At 40.8% G+C, this 17,009-nt stretch overlaps 1 protein-coding gene across 2 annotated transcripts in view, besides 1 other annotated feature; it reads right to left on the bottom strand.

Annotated features, from left to right (window-relative positions):
• Positions 1 to 17,009, bottom strand: part of SUGCT (succinyl-CoA:glutarate-CoA transferase) — a 903,812-nt gene that overhangs the window by 17,919 nt on the left and 868,884 nt on the right. The window lies entirely within an intron of this gene.
• Positions 13,487 to 14,686: an enhancer, noted in NCBI's record as "MED14-independent group 3 enhancer chr7:41045810-41047009 (GRCh37/hg19 assembly coordinates)". NCBI's record gives its function as "activates an origin of replication core promoter dependent on BRD2, BRD4, P300/CBP and CDK7 cofactors, and independent of MED14, by STARR-seq in HCT116 cells {active_cell/tissue: HCT116}" and the evidence as "EXISTENCE:reporter gene assay evidence [ECO:0000049][PMID:35650434]".

Genomic DNA, 17,009 nt, shown 5'->3' with positions numbered 1-17,009 from the left:
CTGCTGCTACATTCGCTCTGCTCTGTCCAGGGGTTCATTCTTCATTTCTGGCAACTGGGGATTCCTTTGATTCATTTTTCCCCTGAGATATGTTTTATAAACTGTTACGGTCTTATGACTTATCCAGAATTTGTATATTTGTGAGAAGAGATGGGTCTACAATAGTCCAGCCCTCCACGTTGCTAGAACTGCTCAGTTCTTTACTTCCTATAGAAGACATCACTACCCAGGGTGTGGGAGAGCACCAATATATAATTACTTTTATGGCAGTTTATTAAAACATTGAATTTCCTTAAATAAGAAAATCTGAAAATACATATATGAATGAGTTAGAATGGCATCTATACCTTCAAGTGAGAAAAATATTCTCTATTACATCAGTCATCACTATTTATCTTTTGTGTCTTAGACTGTGGCCCTGTTATTTTAAATCTGTGGTTTTAATAATGAAACTTTTCAAAATTAACATATGGAACTGCATTTTTGCTAAACTATTTACTTCTCATTTCTTGTTTCCAGGTTTAGTTTAATATGATCCCTCACTTTAGCTACCATACTTTGTAGAAAATGCGTTCTCTTGCAGAGCCAAGGAAATGTAAAACAAAAATGACACACACACATGTCCCAAAAGTATCCATCTGTTCATTCACCCTTCTGGAATTTAGGAATTTTTTCATATACTAGTATGGAGACTTTTCCCCTTTAAGGCTCATATATTTGATATTTTGTGGGACCTGGTAAAACCATAACATAGCATGAGATAAGTTCCAGAAAGTAAGATAGCATTTGTTATTTACAATGCATTCAATCCCCTTGACAATTGAGTGTTATTTTCACTTTAGGAAAAATGATAAAATGAGTGAGAAGGAAAATTAAGTGCTGGGAGTTGGCAAAATAGGACCTTTATGTTGGTGAATATTGAACACAGGAAAAATGACAAGTGACAGCCAGCTAGGAATTACATTTCATGGGGAGGTACCTCATATCCAAATATAGACAGAGGGGATTACTGCTTATTAAAATCCTGTTTTGAAATATTTCTTAAGACTTTTTTAAAAATTTGTTTTTCCTGTCATGAAAGCCCAAGAAAATTCTTGAAGTTCTGTTTCTTCCACCTTCCAAGACCAGAGATTTTACAGATAACACCCCCATCAGGCAGAAGCTGTATTTGCCGAGTCAACCCGAATTACAGCCTTAGCTGGGGTTGTGAGGTCAGAAAGCAACTGCATCTTTCTCAGAAGAACATAGAGTTGGAAAATTTGATTCAATAAATTTGTTTTCCCAACCCAAGTATGGTAATTTATCCAAAGTATACAAATAATGGTGAATTTTCAGACCAATCTTGTAATAATAAAGACCATAAAAACAACATGACGGCAGCTGCTAATATATGAACAGGTTGGATTTCCAAAATGCATGTGTGTTTATGAATGTGATCACCACCTCAAGAACTGGCAAATAATGTTGTCCTTTAAGAGTTACATTATAAATCAATCCACAAGGATCAGGGTCAGGAGAGCCAAGTCACTTAAAGGAAGGAGAACTGAAGGTCTTAACATATTTATGACAAGTACTTATGTGGATGACATGTAAATCGGTGTGCATCTGGCAATTCATAGCTAACATTTTAATTATTAATATACACCTGGATCCAACAACTTCACAGTTGTCCTAAAGAAATACTTAACAATGTATTAGTGGCTGGGTATGTTGGCTGTAATCCCAGCACTTTGGGAGGCCGAGGCAGGTGGATCACCTGAGGTCAGGAGTTCAAGACCAGCCTGGCTAACATGGTGAAACCTCGCCTCTACTAAAAATACAAAAATTAGCTGGGCATGGTGGCAGGCGCCTGTAATCCCAGCTACTCGGGAGGCTGAGGCAGGAGAATCGCTTGAACCCGGGAGGCAGAGGTTGCAGTGAGCCAAGATCGCACCATTGAACTCTAGCCTGGACAACAGAGTGAGACTCCGTCTCAAAAAAAAAAAAAAAGAATATATTAGTCATCATATAAATGTTGTTTATAGGGGAAAATAAAAAGTAACCCAAGTTCAATTATATTGGATAAAGAATTATTAATCATTGTTAACAATTATTTGCAATTGTCAACAATTGAAAAATAATATTGCAGAATAGTTAATGCAGTACCGAGCAATCAATTAGTCAGCATCTGCATTTCTATCCTCCATAGTTTCTTCAGACACTTTTAGGTAGGGAGAGAATAGACACCTTGATTGAAACTTACGGAGTCCCATGCTTTGTTTTGTTTTTTTTAAATCATTCTTAGGCAATTAAATACTATCAATCTCTGAAAGACAAACACAGTCGCAACTCAGTAAAATATCCAGTGCTGTGTAATTGTCAAAATAAAGGACTTGGTTTTAGGATAAATCTCTTTATCTGACTTGAATCTTCTGCAGGTGAAGTTCAAAAGAGCTGGTGGCTATCCGTTTCTCATTCCCTGCCATGCTTCCTCACCTTTCCCTCCATTTTGCTAAGTCTGACTTCCAGTGAGGAAAGAGAGAAGTGAGAAGCAGGAAAGCCACTTGACCAGTCTGCAGTGAGAGGCACCATGATCTCAGGCTGGCTGGAGATTAAAGCTCACCTTCTCTGGTAGCCCCTTTGGTGGCCTTTCTGGAGCCTCCTCCCCTGCACTGGACTCATTTGATTGCATTTCCTATGACTTGGTCATGCATTCTCTCCAATTAACCATTCCCCTTGCAGCGGTCCATAGGCAGAGACTGTGTCTGTCTGTCCCCAGGCCCCTCCAGAAAGTCCTCTTGAGCTGGACCAAAGATGATCTGGTCAGCCATCCTTGACCAGGGGCCACAGCTGTTCCTTAGGGCTGCCTTCCTTTGACCTGAGGGCAGGCAGAGTACACTGGCCCATCTAGCCCATTGTGGCTTTTAAGTTTTCCCAAGCAGAAGTCATGCATCAGTCTCCTGCAACTCCCCAGCTGACAACACAATTCCATCAAATTAATGCAATTCTGGGTGGCTCTCAGGCTTCTCTCTTCTGACTTGATGTGAAATGGAAAGCATCCTACTCCCATCTCTTTCTGGTTAGGATGGGGATTCTTACAGGCCTCTCACTGTTCTCTCCAGTGAAATCTTTCTTTTTTTTTTTTTTTGAGACGGACTCTCACTCTGTTACCCAGGCTGGAGCACAGTGGTGCCATCTCGGCTCACTGCAAGCTCTGTCTCCAGGGTTCACGCCATTCTCCTGCCTCAGCCTCCCGAGTAGCTGGGACTATAGGCACCCGCCACCACGCCCGGCTAAGTTTTTTGTATTTTCAGTAGAGACGGGGTTTCATTGTGTTAGCCAGGATGGTCTCGATCTCCTGACCTCGTGATCTGCCTGCCTCAGCCTCCCAAAGTGCTGGGATTACAGGCGTGAGCCACCGCACCCGGCCTCCAGTGAAATCTTTCTAAAACCTTTCCTAATCTCCAGTCTTGTTTCTTTGATATCCTTGATGTGAAGAAGGGGACTGACAAGTGTGAAACTGATTTTTAAATATCTCACTAGAAGGGTCTGCCATGTGGCCTTGTTTTCAACCCCCTTTGTCTTTCCCATGTATCGCATCTTTATGGCTCAGTAGAAACTTCATGCTCATATGGAGACGTGAATGGGCTTTTCCAATAACCCAGGCCCCTTTGATAATGAGAATGTCAAAGTTTTAGGGGAGACTTTGTATATAGAAAGGGAATTCCTGAAGTTTGTAGACAAGGTCTTTAGACGTCTGTATTGCTTTGCAAGAAAAAAAAAGGTTGAAGAACATGATTTCTGCTTATGAGAGGAAGAAAGCAAAAAGAGAATGGTAAGAGCAGAGCAAGCGCATGGCTGAGTAACGTGGCTCAAAGACCAAAGGATTCTAAGGAAAAGGATGTCAAACATTCAAGCGTAATGATCTTCACATCCTGAAATGCTGAGTTAAGTCAGCTGTGAATCCAAAAACTCCTTGTATGGTTGATTTGTAGTTACTATTGAATCAAGGAAAGAACCTGATTTCCACTTTTGGGTCTATGGCCAAAGCAAAATTAAGGAACAGCTGTAGGCTGAGGAGTGGAGAACAGAATTCACAAGACGCAGGAAGCCAGAGTCACAGGTGAGCATTAGAATGGGAGATCCTGGGAAGTTGCCAAAATCTGGAGGAGAACAATGAAATGAGGGACCAAGGCATCTTATCTAGACAATGAGGAGCAGAGAGACCCAGTTGACATCTGGCTTATACATGTAAGTATACATATTAAAATACCTGGATGATGTTAACCACAGTTATTGCTGGGTGCTGGGATTGCAAAAGATCATTATTTTCTTCTTCATGTTTTCTTTCTTTTTACTAATATATGTTGCTTAGATTTTCCACCACGTTGTTGTAATTAGTGGAGGGCGGGGTAGCAAATTTGAGTTTAAAGAAAAATAAGAGAAAAAAGTATGAATTAAAATCAAGAGAGTCAGGGAAACAGGAATCTATGGGTTCTGGCTTGGCAAGTCCCTCCTGGATGTAATGTGCTATCTTATGGGCTGCTCCATTTTTCAATACAAAATAATACATTTCTATTTTATTTATGCATGCATTGTTTTATTCATGCATCTGTCTCTAAGATTAGCCAGTAAACATCCACCTTGAATGCACTTACCAAACGTAAAAATAAAAATAAATAATACATTTCCAAAGTGTATTCCCGTGAAGAGCTAAGAAAGCTAAAGAGCAAAACTTAAATTGTAAGTGACTTTAATGTGAAAAATGCCCCCTTACAAAGCCTTTGGATAGCAAACCACCTTTCCCAAGGTACACCTTTCTGATGGTTAGAACATGGGAACATTTTGTCCTATGAAAAGATACAAGTCCTTCTAGGCTGCTGGGCCTCCCTGAAACATCAGTCCTTCAAAATCATTTGTGGTTCACTGTTCTCGCTGAATGCAGTAACCATGCAGATAGGGTCTTTCCTGAGCTTGTCCTTCCCAGCACACCCCTCACTCCTACTTCCACACACACATACATGCAACACTCAATTCAGGCATTTTGTGTGGTGAACGCTTGGCACTGAAGGAAGGAAGTAAGAAAAATATTTGGGGGATATATGTTAATGGTCTATTGAGTTAAAACAGACAAATCTAGAAATAAAATCACTCAGATGTGCTTGCCCACACTGTAGGAAGAGTCCACACTGGGTCTGCTCATTGTCTGAAGGGCTCTACCAGAACCTCCTATAGAAAGTTTCATTACCTCAATGCAGTTGACTACAAATAGCCTGATGCCCGTTACCATTTGAAGGGTAGAAAACTGAAACATTGATTCATTTCTACCTCATTCTACAAGCCAAGGTAATATGAAGAATCATCTGGGAAGCCCTTAAAAATACAGAATGTAGGGCTATACTTTCAAAGATTAGAATTTAGGGCTCTACTTTCAAAGATTCTGGTGTACAGAGTCTGGAGTAGGGCCTGGGAATCCTACATTTTAAAAATATGACGGCAGGTAATGATCCGCCAAATTTGAAAACCTCTGCTCATGACCACTTAAAGCAACAGCCTGTTCTAATTTATTTCACCCAATTAATTGCTTAAAGTTAACATGTGTACAAATAACACACATATATATATTATCATCATCATCACCACCGTCAACTAACCAATGAAAAGTAAATACCAAGTGTCCCCATTCACTCTACTGTGAATTACTCCATCTATTTCCTAAAATGAAGCCTCTTCTTCGATCTCTGCTTCTGCTCCACCATTCCTCTTTTCAGTTCTGACTCTTCCTATGACCACTGGACCATGGAGAGGGAAAGTTACCTCTTTGTCAGTGATTCACACCAATTATCTCCTGCCTATAATTATATCTCATCTCTAATTCAAAAGTTCTGCCTGCAATCATACTTTTCTTTATGTTTTAAAAAGATCATAATTCTCAGGTAATTTATTGGAACATGAATGGTTTTCCAGGGTATGCCAGCCATGTGTCATCCATATGCTGCATGCTTTTATTTGATCATTCTCAATTTCCCCAGCCTATTCATCTAGATACTGTAAATGCTATGTCAGGCCCCTCATGAATTATGTTTGCCATATTCCTCAATCTATTGGTAAAATAAATCTAATAACAACAAACAAAAAGGGAGAAATTTGGGAAGTGGAGTAAATTTTTTCTTAGGGATCTTATGTTGCTTCATTGTGCTCCCAAGTTTTCTTTTCCTTGTTTAAAAACCATCCCCTTAGTAATTGAGACTGACGACTTGGCTCATTGTTGAATTTGACACCTCTTCTGAGAAAGAGCATTGGTGATCCGCAGCTCCAGGCTGACCCTCACATCCCCAAGTCCTCAGCTGGGACTCAACACGAGGGACTGCGAGTCTTTTACCCTTCTTAGATCTTGCTCAATATTTCTCATGTTCTTTCCAGTAAGAAAATTGTGCTATTTGATTATAATAGGCCCCTTCTCACTTTTTAAATCCAGTGTGAAATTGGAGAAGGAGGAGGTGGTGAATAAATTAATAAAAATATCTAACTTTGAGGTTTCTTTTTTTAAGTAACTAATACCTGTCATGATCAGACTTTTATGAAGTAGTCACTGAAAGTTTCATGGGAATGATTGTCATACTGAATCAGTCCATTCACCACAGACACACACAGCCACACATACACGCATATATACAACATTCTCATGTAAAACATTTTGAAATAGATTCACATGAAGTTGCAAAGATAGTGCAGAGGTCTCACATACCCTCACCCACTCCACCTCAGTGGTTTCATCATCTGTAACTATAGCGCAATATCAAAAGAAGAAAATGAGCATTGGTACTTTGTGTGACACACTATTTTAAGAATCTTATTATCTGTTTCTCCAGCCAAAGCCTCCTTCTCAGAAGCCATAATAGACTCACTGTCACCAAATTAAGTCAAAATTATCCCTATGTGTGAACCCAGGTTTGTGGGTTCAGTCCAATTGTTTTGGTTTATCTTTGAATTGGGTTATGGTTCCCCAAATTGAAAATTGACATCATCGAACTAATTTCATATAATATCTACTCCAGTTATCTGCATGTTGGACCTGAAATATTGTCATGAGAGATTAGGGAGAGAAATATATTAGTGAAAAAAATCAAAAGTCAATGTTTCTTTTCTTTAAAAAAAAAAAAGAAAGAAAGAAAGAAAAGCAACTAAAATGTGTCCTGATCAAAACTTTATGAGGTAACCTCTTGGAATGTGTCACAATATTTGCCCTCCTAAATCAGCCCATTCACTACAGCCACATGCACACACCCACAAAATGCATATACAGGCATAGATAATACACACTTAGATGCACGCACACAGACACCTGCGCACTTATGCACATTCAAACGAACCCACGGACACCACTTTTTTGTTACTATATTTTCGTCTATGTCCTCAGCCAATGCTCCTCCTCAGGAGTCAGAACTGACTCACTGGCTGTCAATGACTCCAACATCAAGACACAACTGTCCCCTTCTTTGGACCTGGGCTGGTGAGTTCAGCCAAATTGTTTTTTGTTCGTCTGTGAATGGGGTTATGGATCCCAAGAGAAGGAACTGAAATCATCAAACTAATTTTACATGATGTACTAAGAAGAACGCGGTACCAAATGAAAGAGCTCAGTGATTAGTTTACCAAGCCATCCAGATCTATGTAAATGACCTGTGATAAATGACTGGTCAGCCAAAGGAACAGAAATCATGTATTATTTCCGCAGTTTGAAGTGAAATGCCATTTGTATTTATCATTGTTCTGAACCAGCACAGCAGAGTGTGTGGGACAAAACTTTCTGCAAACACATAAGTGGACTTCTTATTTAAAAAATTGTATATGCATATATAATTAATGAAATACATATATATATATATATATATATATATTTAAATCAGAGTTTCCTCACTTGGATTATTAAAGGTGACTTGCAGATGGTGCTGTGCTGGCAACCATGTAATTCACTTACACAGAAATTTACTAGAGTTCTGAATGTGGAAATATTTAAACAAGGTCAAAATATTTTGCTTTTCATTTAGAATTTTCATCATAGATTCTGAGATTCAAAAAATACACTCATAGCATTATCACCATAATTTTCTGATTTTTGCATTCTTCTGCTTCATTTTAATTTTTTTTTTTAGTTTCTCTGGATAAAACATTAGTGTAATTAAATGTGTGGGTGGCAGTCTCTTCACCTAAATGTCCATGAATCTTAGGGCAGCACTGTCTAGAGAGAATTGAAGTAATCACAATATAAATGAGGCACTTGGATCCACTAATGTTTTTTATAAGCCAAGATTACCTAATGAATTCACCATGGAGGCCTCAGATAGCTACCATTGATCATTTTTTGAGCACTTGCTATGTGCAAGTATGGTGCTGACTGCTTTAGGTAACATAGTCTCTTTGATCATGACAAGTTTCCATGCAGCTGCTATTATTGTTCCTATTTTACAGGTTAAGAAACTTCAGTTCCTAGAGACTGAGTAGCTTGACCAGGATCACAGAGCAGGCTGGGTTGAAACTCAGACCCACCAGACACTGAACCACTGCGTTTAGCCATTATAGTTCACGGCTCTTCACAGAGGTTAAATGCTGCAAAGAAAGGCAGTGAGCTTGAGCTGTGATGGAAAAGAAGCACAGGCGAGCGTGAGCTAATCAAGCCTGGAGACTATTGAGGGGTATAAGCAAAGACACAGGGGGAGGGAGAGTTCACCGGAACTAATGAGGGAGGGTCTACAGGCCCTGGGAAAAGGCTGGTTCCGGGAAATTTCCACACTTGAGAAACTGGGGAATCATTATTTTTCCAGCTGAATGGCAAATGATTCCAGTTCAAACTGTCTCCATTTGGCTTCCACAGTTATTGGTTTAGCTGGGGCTGCACTCGAGAAAGATGCAAGTGTGGAATATGAAGTGAAACAGAGAAAGAACGTAAAACACCACCGATGAAGGGAACTGGGCGTGATTGAGGGAAAAGACAGTAGCTCTAAAGCCACAGTGTAAAGAAAAAAACAAGCTGATTCGGGGTTGGAACAGCAGGAATTTTCCCACCAGTGCATTCCCAGTGGCATCTATCTGTATACAAAAATGTATACCTGTGAATCAAGAGTTTCTATGGTTGAATATATGTGGGTAGGTCTGTAGTAATTTGTATAACCTATCCAGTTCCATTGGGAGGGAGGTGGGATGATTTACACTGTTTTCTGTCCTGTGGGATTATAATTCTCTAACTTTTTCTCACCTTGAGTTTTATTTTATTTAGTTTGCTCCAAACTCTAACACAGTGCTTCTCAAACTTTAGTTACTTATGAAACACTTGGGAAATATTGTTAAATCAGATTCTTATTTAGTAAGTCTGGGGTATGGTCTGAGTTTCTGCATTTCTAACAAGCTCCCCTAGAGGTTGGGGGATACCCCAGTTGGGGTACCACACTTTGAATAGTGGGGGCTCTAAGAAATAAATCATACTAGCAGAAGAGACAAAGATTATTACTTTCTCCCAATAAAGCAGCATCTGTGTCCACCTTCTCACTTCCCTTTTGTCTTCTACTATCTTTTCTGCATGTTCTAATTTGTGGCTGAGGCTAAAGAAAGGATGTACAGTAGGTACACACGAAACCCCAGGTTTGTACAGCTCCCCTCTTCTGAGTGCCTGCTTGTTCTTCTATCCGCCTCCCTCTGCCTGATCTCATCTGGATGGCTGGACTTCCTTCCTCTCCAGAGGGAATTCCACTGAAACAGCTGCTTCCTCCTCATGCGTGTCAACCAGTGTTCTTATAGAACTGTCATAATCTAGAGCTTGGAATCGAGCATGAGAAATCAGCAGGTCCAGGCTTCTGCCCTCAGTAAGTGAATGTCCAAACCCTTCAAAGGGAAAGATATGCCTATTTTCCTCACCCAAACCACCATCATTTCTTTTTGTTTGTTTGTTTGTTTTTTAACCATTCATATTTTCAAACATCAGCTGTGGGCCTGGCTCAGTTTGAGACTCAGTCATCAAGACCATATTTGGATTAATTTCGTTCCAGGTCAAACATTCCAATTTAATACATTTATCCCATGATTTCCTAATGCTATCAAATGACACATCGTTTTATTTTTTTTCTTTGTTTTTCTCTTTCAACTAATTTATTTAATGGGTCCAAAATGGGTGATTACAGCACAAAAACATGTGGTATCCTAATTGGATTTTGAAAATGTGTAAACATGGCCCTCCGGTGGCTTGCTATTACCATCTGGACCAAATATAAACTTCTGACCATTGCCTTCAAACTCTCCTTCACCCAGCACCACCCTATGGCCACTCTCATCTGTGACTTCTCCTCTCCAAGTTCCCTCTGTTCCAGCCAGACTGTGCTTCTTGTTTTTCAGAACCAGTTTCTCAATTTCCGCTTCAAGGCCTCTGCCTGAACTGGTCTACAGAGAAGGAACAAGTTCCTACCTTCCATTCTCTATGCCTTTCAGAAGGCTTCTCAGATTTCACTCCTAGAAATGTTTCCCAAACTAATCCTATCCATTTTTTTACTCCACTATGATCCCTACTTCACCTCAATGTCTGCAATTATTTGGGCAAAGCTTGTGTTTTACTCGTGTCTATCTACGTGGCTCATTGAGTCATTAACAGTAACAGTAGCAGTGGTTCCTACGTGTTGGTATCTAAGCCAGGTTCTGGGGCTCCACTGTGAACAAGCAATCAATGTACTTAATATCACAGTTTACATTCAGGTTTGGGAAGGTGGATAATGAGCAATAAATGAACAAACAAAAATTTCAGATGGTGAAAAAGTTCTGCTGGGTGGTGTGAGGTTAGAGGGCAGGGAGCAAGCTTCCTCTTGATCTGAACTCTCCATCTCTCTGAATTCACTTTACAAAATAGTACACATCCAGCGCAAACACATGTAGGCTCACTTGGTTGAGATGCACACATCAAAGTTTGCATGTGAATACAGCACATATCTCAAGGGAAGTTTCTTTGTGAGGCCAGTCATGCCTGGGGAAATATCATCGAAGAGAGTGATCACTGATTTCATTGATGAGAAGGTACTTTTCTGCAGTCTTCAGTATAGCCCAGAGTTTCTCAAACTTAACACATCTGGGGTACTTGTTAAAAGTCAGACCACATAATGAAAACATTGTACTATAGCTTTTAAGGGACAAGAATCAGGACACTGAGATGGATGAATGGGTGGGTGGATGGAAGGAAGGATGGATAGTGGATGGAAGGACGGATGGATGGTGGATGGAAGGAAGGATGGATGGTGGATGGAAGGAAGGGTGGATGGTGGATGGAAGGAAGGATGGATGGTAGATGGAAGAAAGGATGGATGGTGGATGGAAGGAAGGATGGATGGTGGATGGAAGGAAGGATGGATGGATGGTGGATGGAAGGAAGGAAGGATGGTGGATGGATACATAGATGGACCCAGTTACCCAGTGCTCTAAGTTAGCAACCAAATTCACAAGAAGATTCATGGCTTTACCTGTCCCGTGGCACTAGGCCTATGATTTGGGAACCTAAACTCAGTTCAGTCTCCTTCCTCTAATTTTTATGAAGAAACATTTTATTCATTGAGCCCTGGGTATAAAAATCATTTTGAGAATTAATAATTAACATAGATTCATAGACTGTGAAATCGAATCTTTCATTCCATTGCCCATCATTTAACATATAAGTTGCTTTTTTTTTTTTTTTTTTAGAGAGAGACATTGTCACCCAGGCAGAAGTGCAGTGGCACTGTCATGGCTCACTATAACCTTAAACTCCTGGGCTCAAGCCATTCTCTCACCTCAGCTTTCCAAAGCTCTGGGATTAAGGCATGATCCACCATACCCGGCTAAATTGCATTCTTTAGAACTGCATTTTCCCCAAAATAAGTCACTTTTAAGCCATGTCCCTTTTTTGCTCATACCACAGGACATTTAATACTACTGGAAACAGAGATACCATCATATTCTCGCAAGACCCAACAAGAAGCCACCATGCATCGGGACCAGACACCATCCCTTCGGGTGGGACCAGATACCATCCCTTCGGGTGACCACGAGGCAGCAGGAGGGACACACTGCCAACAAGCACCACTGCATCCTGCCAGGTCCTCCCCAGTCAAGAGAAGAGGGCAGGAGAGGTGTGCATGAAACAGACCCAGGGAAGGGCGCATTTGCCCTCCAGCAGCGTCATTTATAGTGACTGGGGGGACTTGCAATACAGGGAAACTGGCATCTCACTCCCCACCGAGAGGCCTCCCAAGCTTCCAGAGCTGGCAGACTCAAGATGTCTCCATGGAAGATGTGGAGCCTTGAGGTGCGATACAGGCAGAGAGGAACACGCAAGCTGTGGCCTGCTTTCAGTCTAGGAATTTCCCAAGGCATGAGTGTTGACTTGGAGGGACTGTGGTAGCAATTCCCGGGGAAAGAGAGGGTGATCCCCAACCCACCTAGTTTTCTTCTGTGCTGAGAGGACATGAAATCAGACTGTGACCTTTCATTGGCCCCACTAAAAGAAACCCGGATGTGAGAGGAGGTGCTGGAGCCAGGAGGTTCCTCCAGGCTCCACCGAGTGGAGACCTGAGATGCCCTCCCAGGGCTGATGGCAGACAAGGCTGCGTTCAGGAGCGTGGGGTGGAAGAAAGCTTAAAAACACATACAGCACTTGCATGGAAACTCCTAGAGGAAAATGGAACCAGGAAGAATCAGAACAGTGCCCAGGGGCGCCTCCCTCCCACAGGCAAGTGGCCATTTAAGAAAGGATTTCTGTGCATCCCCCAGCCCTCCTTCAGGCTCCCCAGAAAAGCTGGGTCTACGGGAGGGGGAGGATAGCATTGCTCCACAGCCAGATTTTGCCCCCCACCCTCTTTCTAAGCAGCCAGAGTCACAGCTCTAGCTTTAAATTGGATATGCAATTAAGGGTTTAAATTAAGCCACACTAAGTTTTAATTACCAAATGTGACCAGGAAGTTATGGAATACACCCAAGATTTTGTTAAGGGAAGAGAAAACTGTGGATTCTACATAGCACAATTGAACACAACGATTTAAAAAAAATACATAAGACCATTTAATTCTTTTTTTTTTTTTTTTTTTTGGATTTCAGTTGTAATTCCTTCAAGATTCCATTGTCATAGAAGCTTTTACTTAAAGCAAATTCCATGCTTTCATGGTCAAATAATCCAAGAATGTTAATTTCCCCTTTCTTTTTCTTGTTTTTTGCATATTTGTGGGATTGCATAGTGTAGTTTCACTCATTGATTATCCCACATTAAATCTTTCACCAAAAGTTCAAAGTCAAGTAAGTATTTGATCACTTGCAAGGGAATCTATCTGGCATTGGTGACTAGGTCTCCAGAGCAGAGAAATTAGATGAAGTGCCAAAGCATTGCATCCGGTTCCCTGGGTGATATTCTAAGGCGTGCACACAGCAGGAACAATACTCTTGGCCAGAGTCAGAGAGGAAGTCATGAGCTCCCGTGCTGAGTATATTCTTGGGTCTCCCCTTGTTTACATTTTGCCACTCTTGTATATCCCTAGCTTTACTCTGGATTAAGGAGGCCTCGACTTGTTGTAAAATGCTTTTGGAAAAGCCTGTTCAGTGAGGGCCATCTCACTTGATCAAACAGGATCATGCAGACCAATCAGTAGTGTAATATTAAGTAGTCAGGGTGCCACTTGAGAAAGGAGACCCATCCTTTGTTTTTGAATGATGACTCTTCTATCAAAATCTGTGTTTTATTGTCATCAAAGTTAAAATGGAAATAAAATATATTTTTAAAATAAAATAGGATTTGTTTCCACTCAATTTAAAAAAAAAACTGAATCTCTAAGCTTAAGATTTTTCCATATTAATAAAATGAAAATTTTTTCCAGAAACCTCTCTGAGGCCCTTCTTCTTTAAATTTATGTCAGCTTCATAACCAACTAACAAAGATATATGTTGTGATAGAGCCCATCACTTCAGTGGATAATCATGTAACTTACAGAAATCATTTCACAATCTTCAGATAGTTATTCTTCAATCTGCCAAGGTATTCAATCAATAAATGCCATTCTATGTAATCATTGCAATGACTGCCAAATGATGCAATCTTAAAATGCGGAAGAAAAAAAGTCAAGAAGGAGAAGGGTGAGTATCCAAGACAGAACCAAGTATTTTACAACAGGCCTTTCAGGTAGACTGGCTGAATTCCATATAAGCTCATTCATATCTGGAAGTCTTTATCGTTGTCTTAAGCCTGGAAATCAATGACCACCATCCCCTTGAGAGCCTGAAACCTGAAACAAGCATATTTCTTTAAGCACCTTTGCAAAAGTACTTAATTTTCCATGAGAACTCACTGTCTTGACCTGGCTCCTGGAATTCAAGGGAAGGGTGGAAAGTCAAGTCCAATAAATGAATAACTTTCAGGAACTTCAAACTTCATTATTTCTGATGGCAACCCAAAGCTTTTTCCATTATAAAAAAAAGGGCAAGGTATTTTGCACTCAAGTAGCTCTTTCAAAGAGGAGAATGAGAGCATGCAGCCCTCTTTACTCTGGTGAGAGGCTCACATTCTATATCTTGTTGGCTCAGAGTGCCTTTGTTTGGAGTCCAGCCCCTGGTTGAGGGTCAGCTAATGAAAGAGGAAATGAGGTTCAAATTCTTTAATTAGTTTTGTCAGTGATTCTCTATGGTTGGCAATAAAAGCAATACTTTCTGGGAGATCAGGTTCTCTTGCTGAAACTTTGGATAGGATAAAGCGCTTGAAAGGCCAAGATCATTTTCAGCCCATTGTTACAGCCTGTCTCTGAACTGGGCTTTTTACTGAAAAGCTTTGGAGCCAAAATTTTTATGTCATCTCCACAGTCATGTCTCACAGACATCAATAAGCATGTCTCTTTCAGATATTTATCAATACATCTTAGGAGGGCTTCACAAAACAGTATATTCTGCAAGCCAACTGGGAGAAAAACAAGTTTTGTTTGGGAATGTTGTGAATGAACGTTGCAGTCTGGGATACACATTTCCTGGAATGCTCGGAGGTCAAGTTCCCCAAAATGGGAGTACTTACACAAGGTTGAGGGCTAGTCACCAAGGATGGGGAAACTGGCTTAGAAGTCAGTATTGGGGGTGAGGGAAATCAGCATAGAAGCATCTTTGGAATGACCATGCCCTTTCCTAACAGCAAGTTCTATGCCCTGATCTTCACATAGGTCCTTATAAGGCTGACCACATAGCCTGATATAAAGGCAACAAACCTAAACATAGGTAACCTCATTGATAACAGTCATGTACCCACATGGAAATTCTTCCCACAGCACAGAGTAAAAAGAGGATTCCAGTGCTACCTCAAAATGGGACATTGCAAACTTGAACAAAACCCACAAAGGAGAAGTTGCCATGTCTTTCCAGCTTTTGGAACAGCTGGAGCTTGTCTGAAAGAAACCACACCCTGGACCTCCTCAGTGAGTCATGGCCCTTCTCCTTCCTTGGGGAATACCCGCATTTCTTCCTGATGGAGAAGACTTTATATGGAGACACCTCTTTTATCCCTCATGGGTGGGGGGATGGGGCAGGAAGAAAGTTTCCAATCTAATATTAACATTCAATTTCAGAAAAGTGTTTCTTGGGCAGCCTGACTTGCTTCGATAGGTCTGTATCAAACACAGAGCATACCTTCAGCTGAGGGGGAAACACTGGCTTTCTAAAGGGTACTAAATCTCCTCACTCAAACTTTACTGTCCGGGAAAATTAAAAAAATAATTCCTTATGAAAATCATCTCTCTGATTCTAGGCACCAGATGACTCTGAAAGTCATGTTAGGCGCACATCACATGCACCCAGGAGAGAAACTCAAGCAAAGACAGCAAACAATGGCAAAGAGACAGCATAGGAAGTACGCAGTTGCTTGCCATTTTTTGGGCAAATGCTCATCAATGTTTACTTTTTCCATTGCAGATATGTATTTTGTGTGATTCTTCAGGGCCAAGTCCACCGATGTCACAATAAACATATTGTCTCTAAGTTCCATTAACTTCCTGCCATATCTTGGGAGCTTTCTTCCCAGGGGAAGGGATCAGTTACTTGTTTCAATGAGAAGAATATTGAGATGCCAGTTATTTTTTTTTTTCCACAAGGGTAATGTATTATACCCATAATTTGTAGAATATTTTACTGTACAGTAACTTTTCTATGTGATTATTTGGTTCTTAATTCAAAACACTGGGTACATGTTTTCAAACAGCAGGGAGGACAGGAGTTGCAACTTACTGATGTCCCTGATAGCTCTTGTCTTCCATAGCCTGCCCAGTGGGCATCTTGTTAGAGCCATAGCAGTTCCTCTCTGAACCTGGTGGTATTTGTGATTGTGCCCATGATGTCCCATTGCAGATGTCTGCATATGATGCTGGCCTCTTGGCTGCAACAATGTGTCTCCCAGTGCTCCAGTTCTGCAGCAGTGTTTGAAATTTTCGTGCTGGGTCTTTTAAATTATTTCTTCTGCCCACCCTGCTTAGGATTGCTCAAAAAATAGCAAATAACAACAATACGCCTGCCTTCACTTTGCCAAAAGAAATGCCTGGGACTTTTCAGAAGCCACATTCAATTTATGAATAAATGAAATGGATCTTCTCGACCAACCATGACAATAAGCACTGGCCTACATATTCAGGGCCTGAAAGAAGTTGAGGCAATGGGCCTAATGAGAAGCAGTCAGCGAATCTAATGAGAATCAGACAGAAGGCCTAATGAGACATTTAACATGCTCTGCCTCTCCCTCCTCTTTTGTTCAGTTTTCATGGGAATCTGTGTTTGGGGAGCTCAGTTGCACTGGCTACAAGCAGATACATATGTCCTTAGTGGGGCGATCCAGGAAGCAATAGAAAGATGCCTAGGGATGGGGAGGGTGGATCTTGGAAAATGTACCCCAAGGCCATGATAATGTGGTGGGATGGATTTTTATTTTAACTGTATCTATACCTTTTCCAGAATATCGTAGAGCCATACAGCTATGGATGATGATACAATAAACAGGCAAGAGATTTCAA

This window comes from Homo sapiens, chromosome 7 (assembly GCF_000001405.40).
Source record: "Homo sapiens chromosome 7, GRCh38.p14 Primary Assembly".
In the NCBI taxonomy this organism is placed as follows: Eukaryota; Metazoa; Chordata; class Mammalia; order Primates; family Hominidae; genus Homo; species Homo sapiens.
The sequence above is the reverse complement of the archived record's forward strand: the minus strand, read 5'-3'. Positions and strand labels throughout refer to the sequence as shown.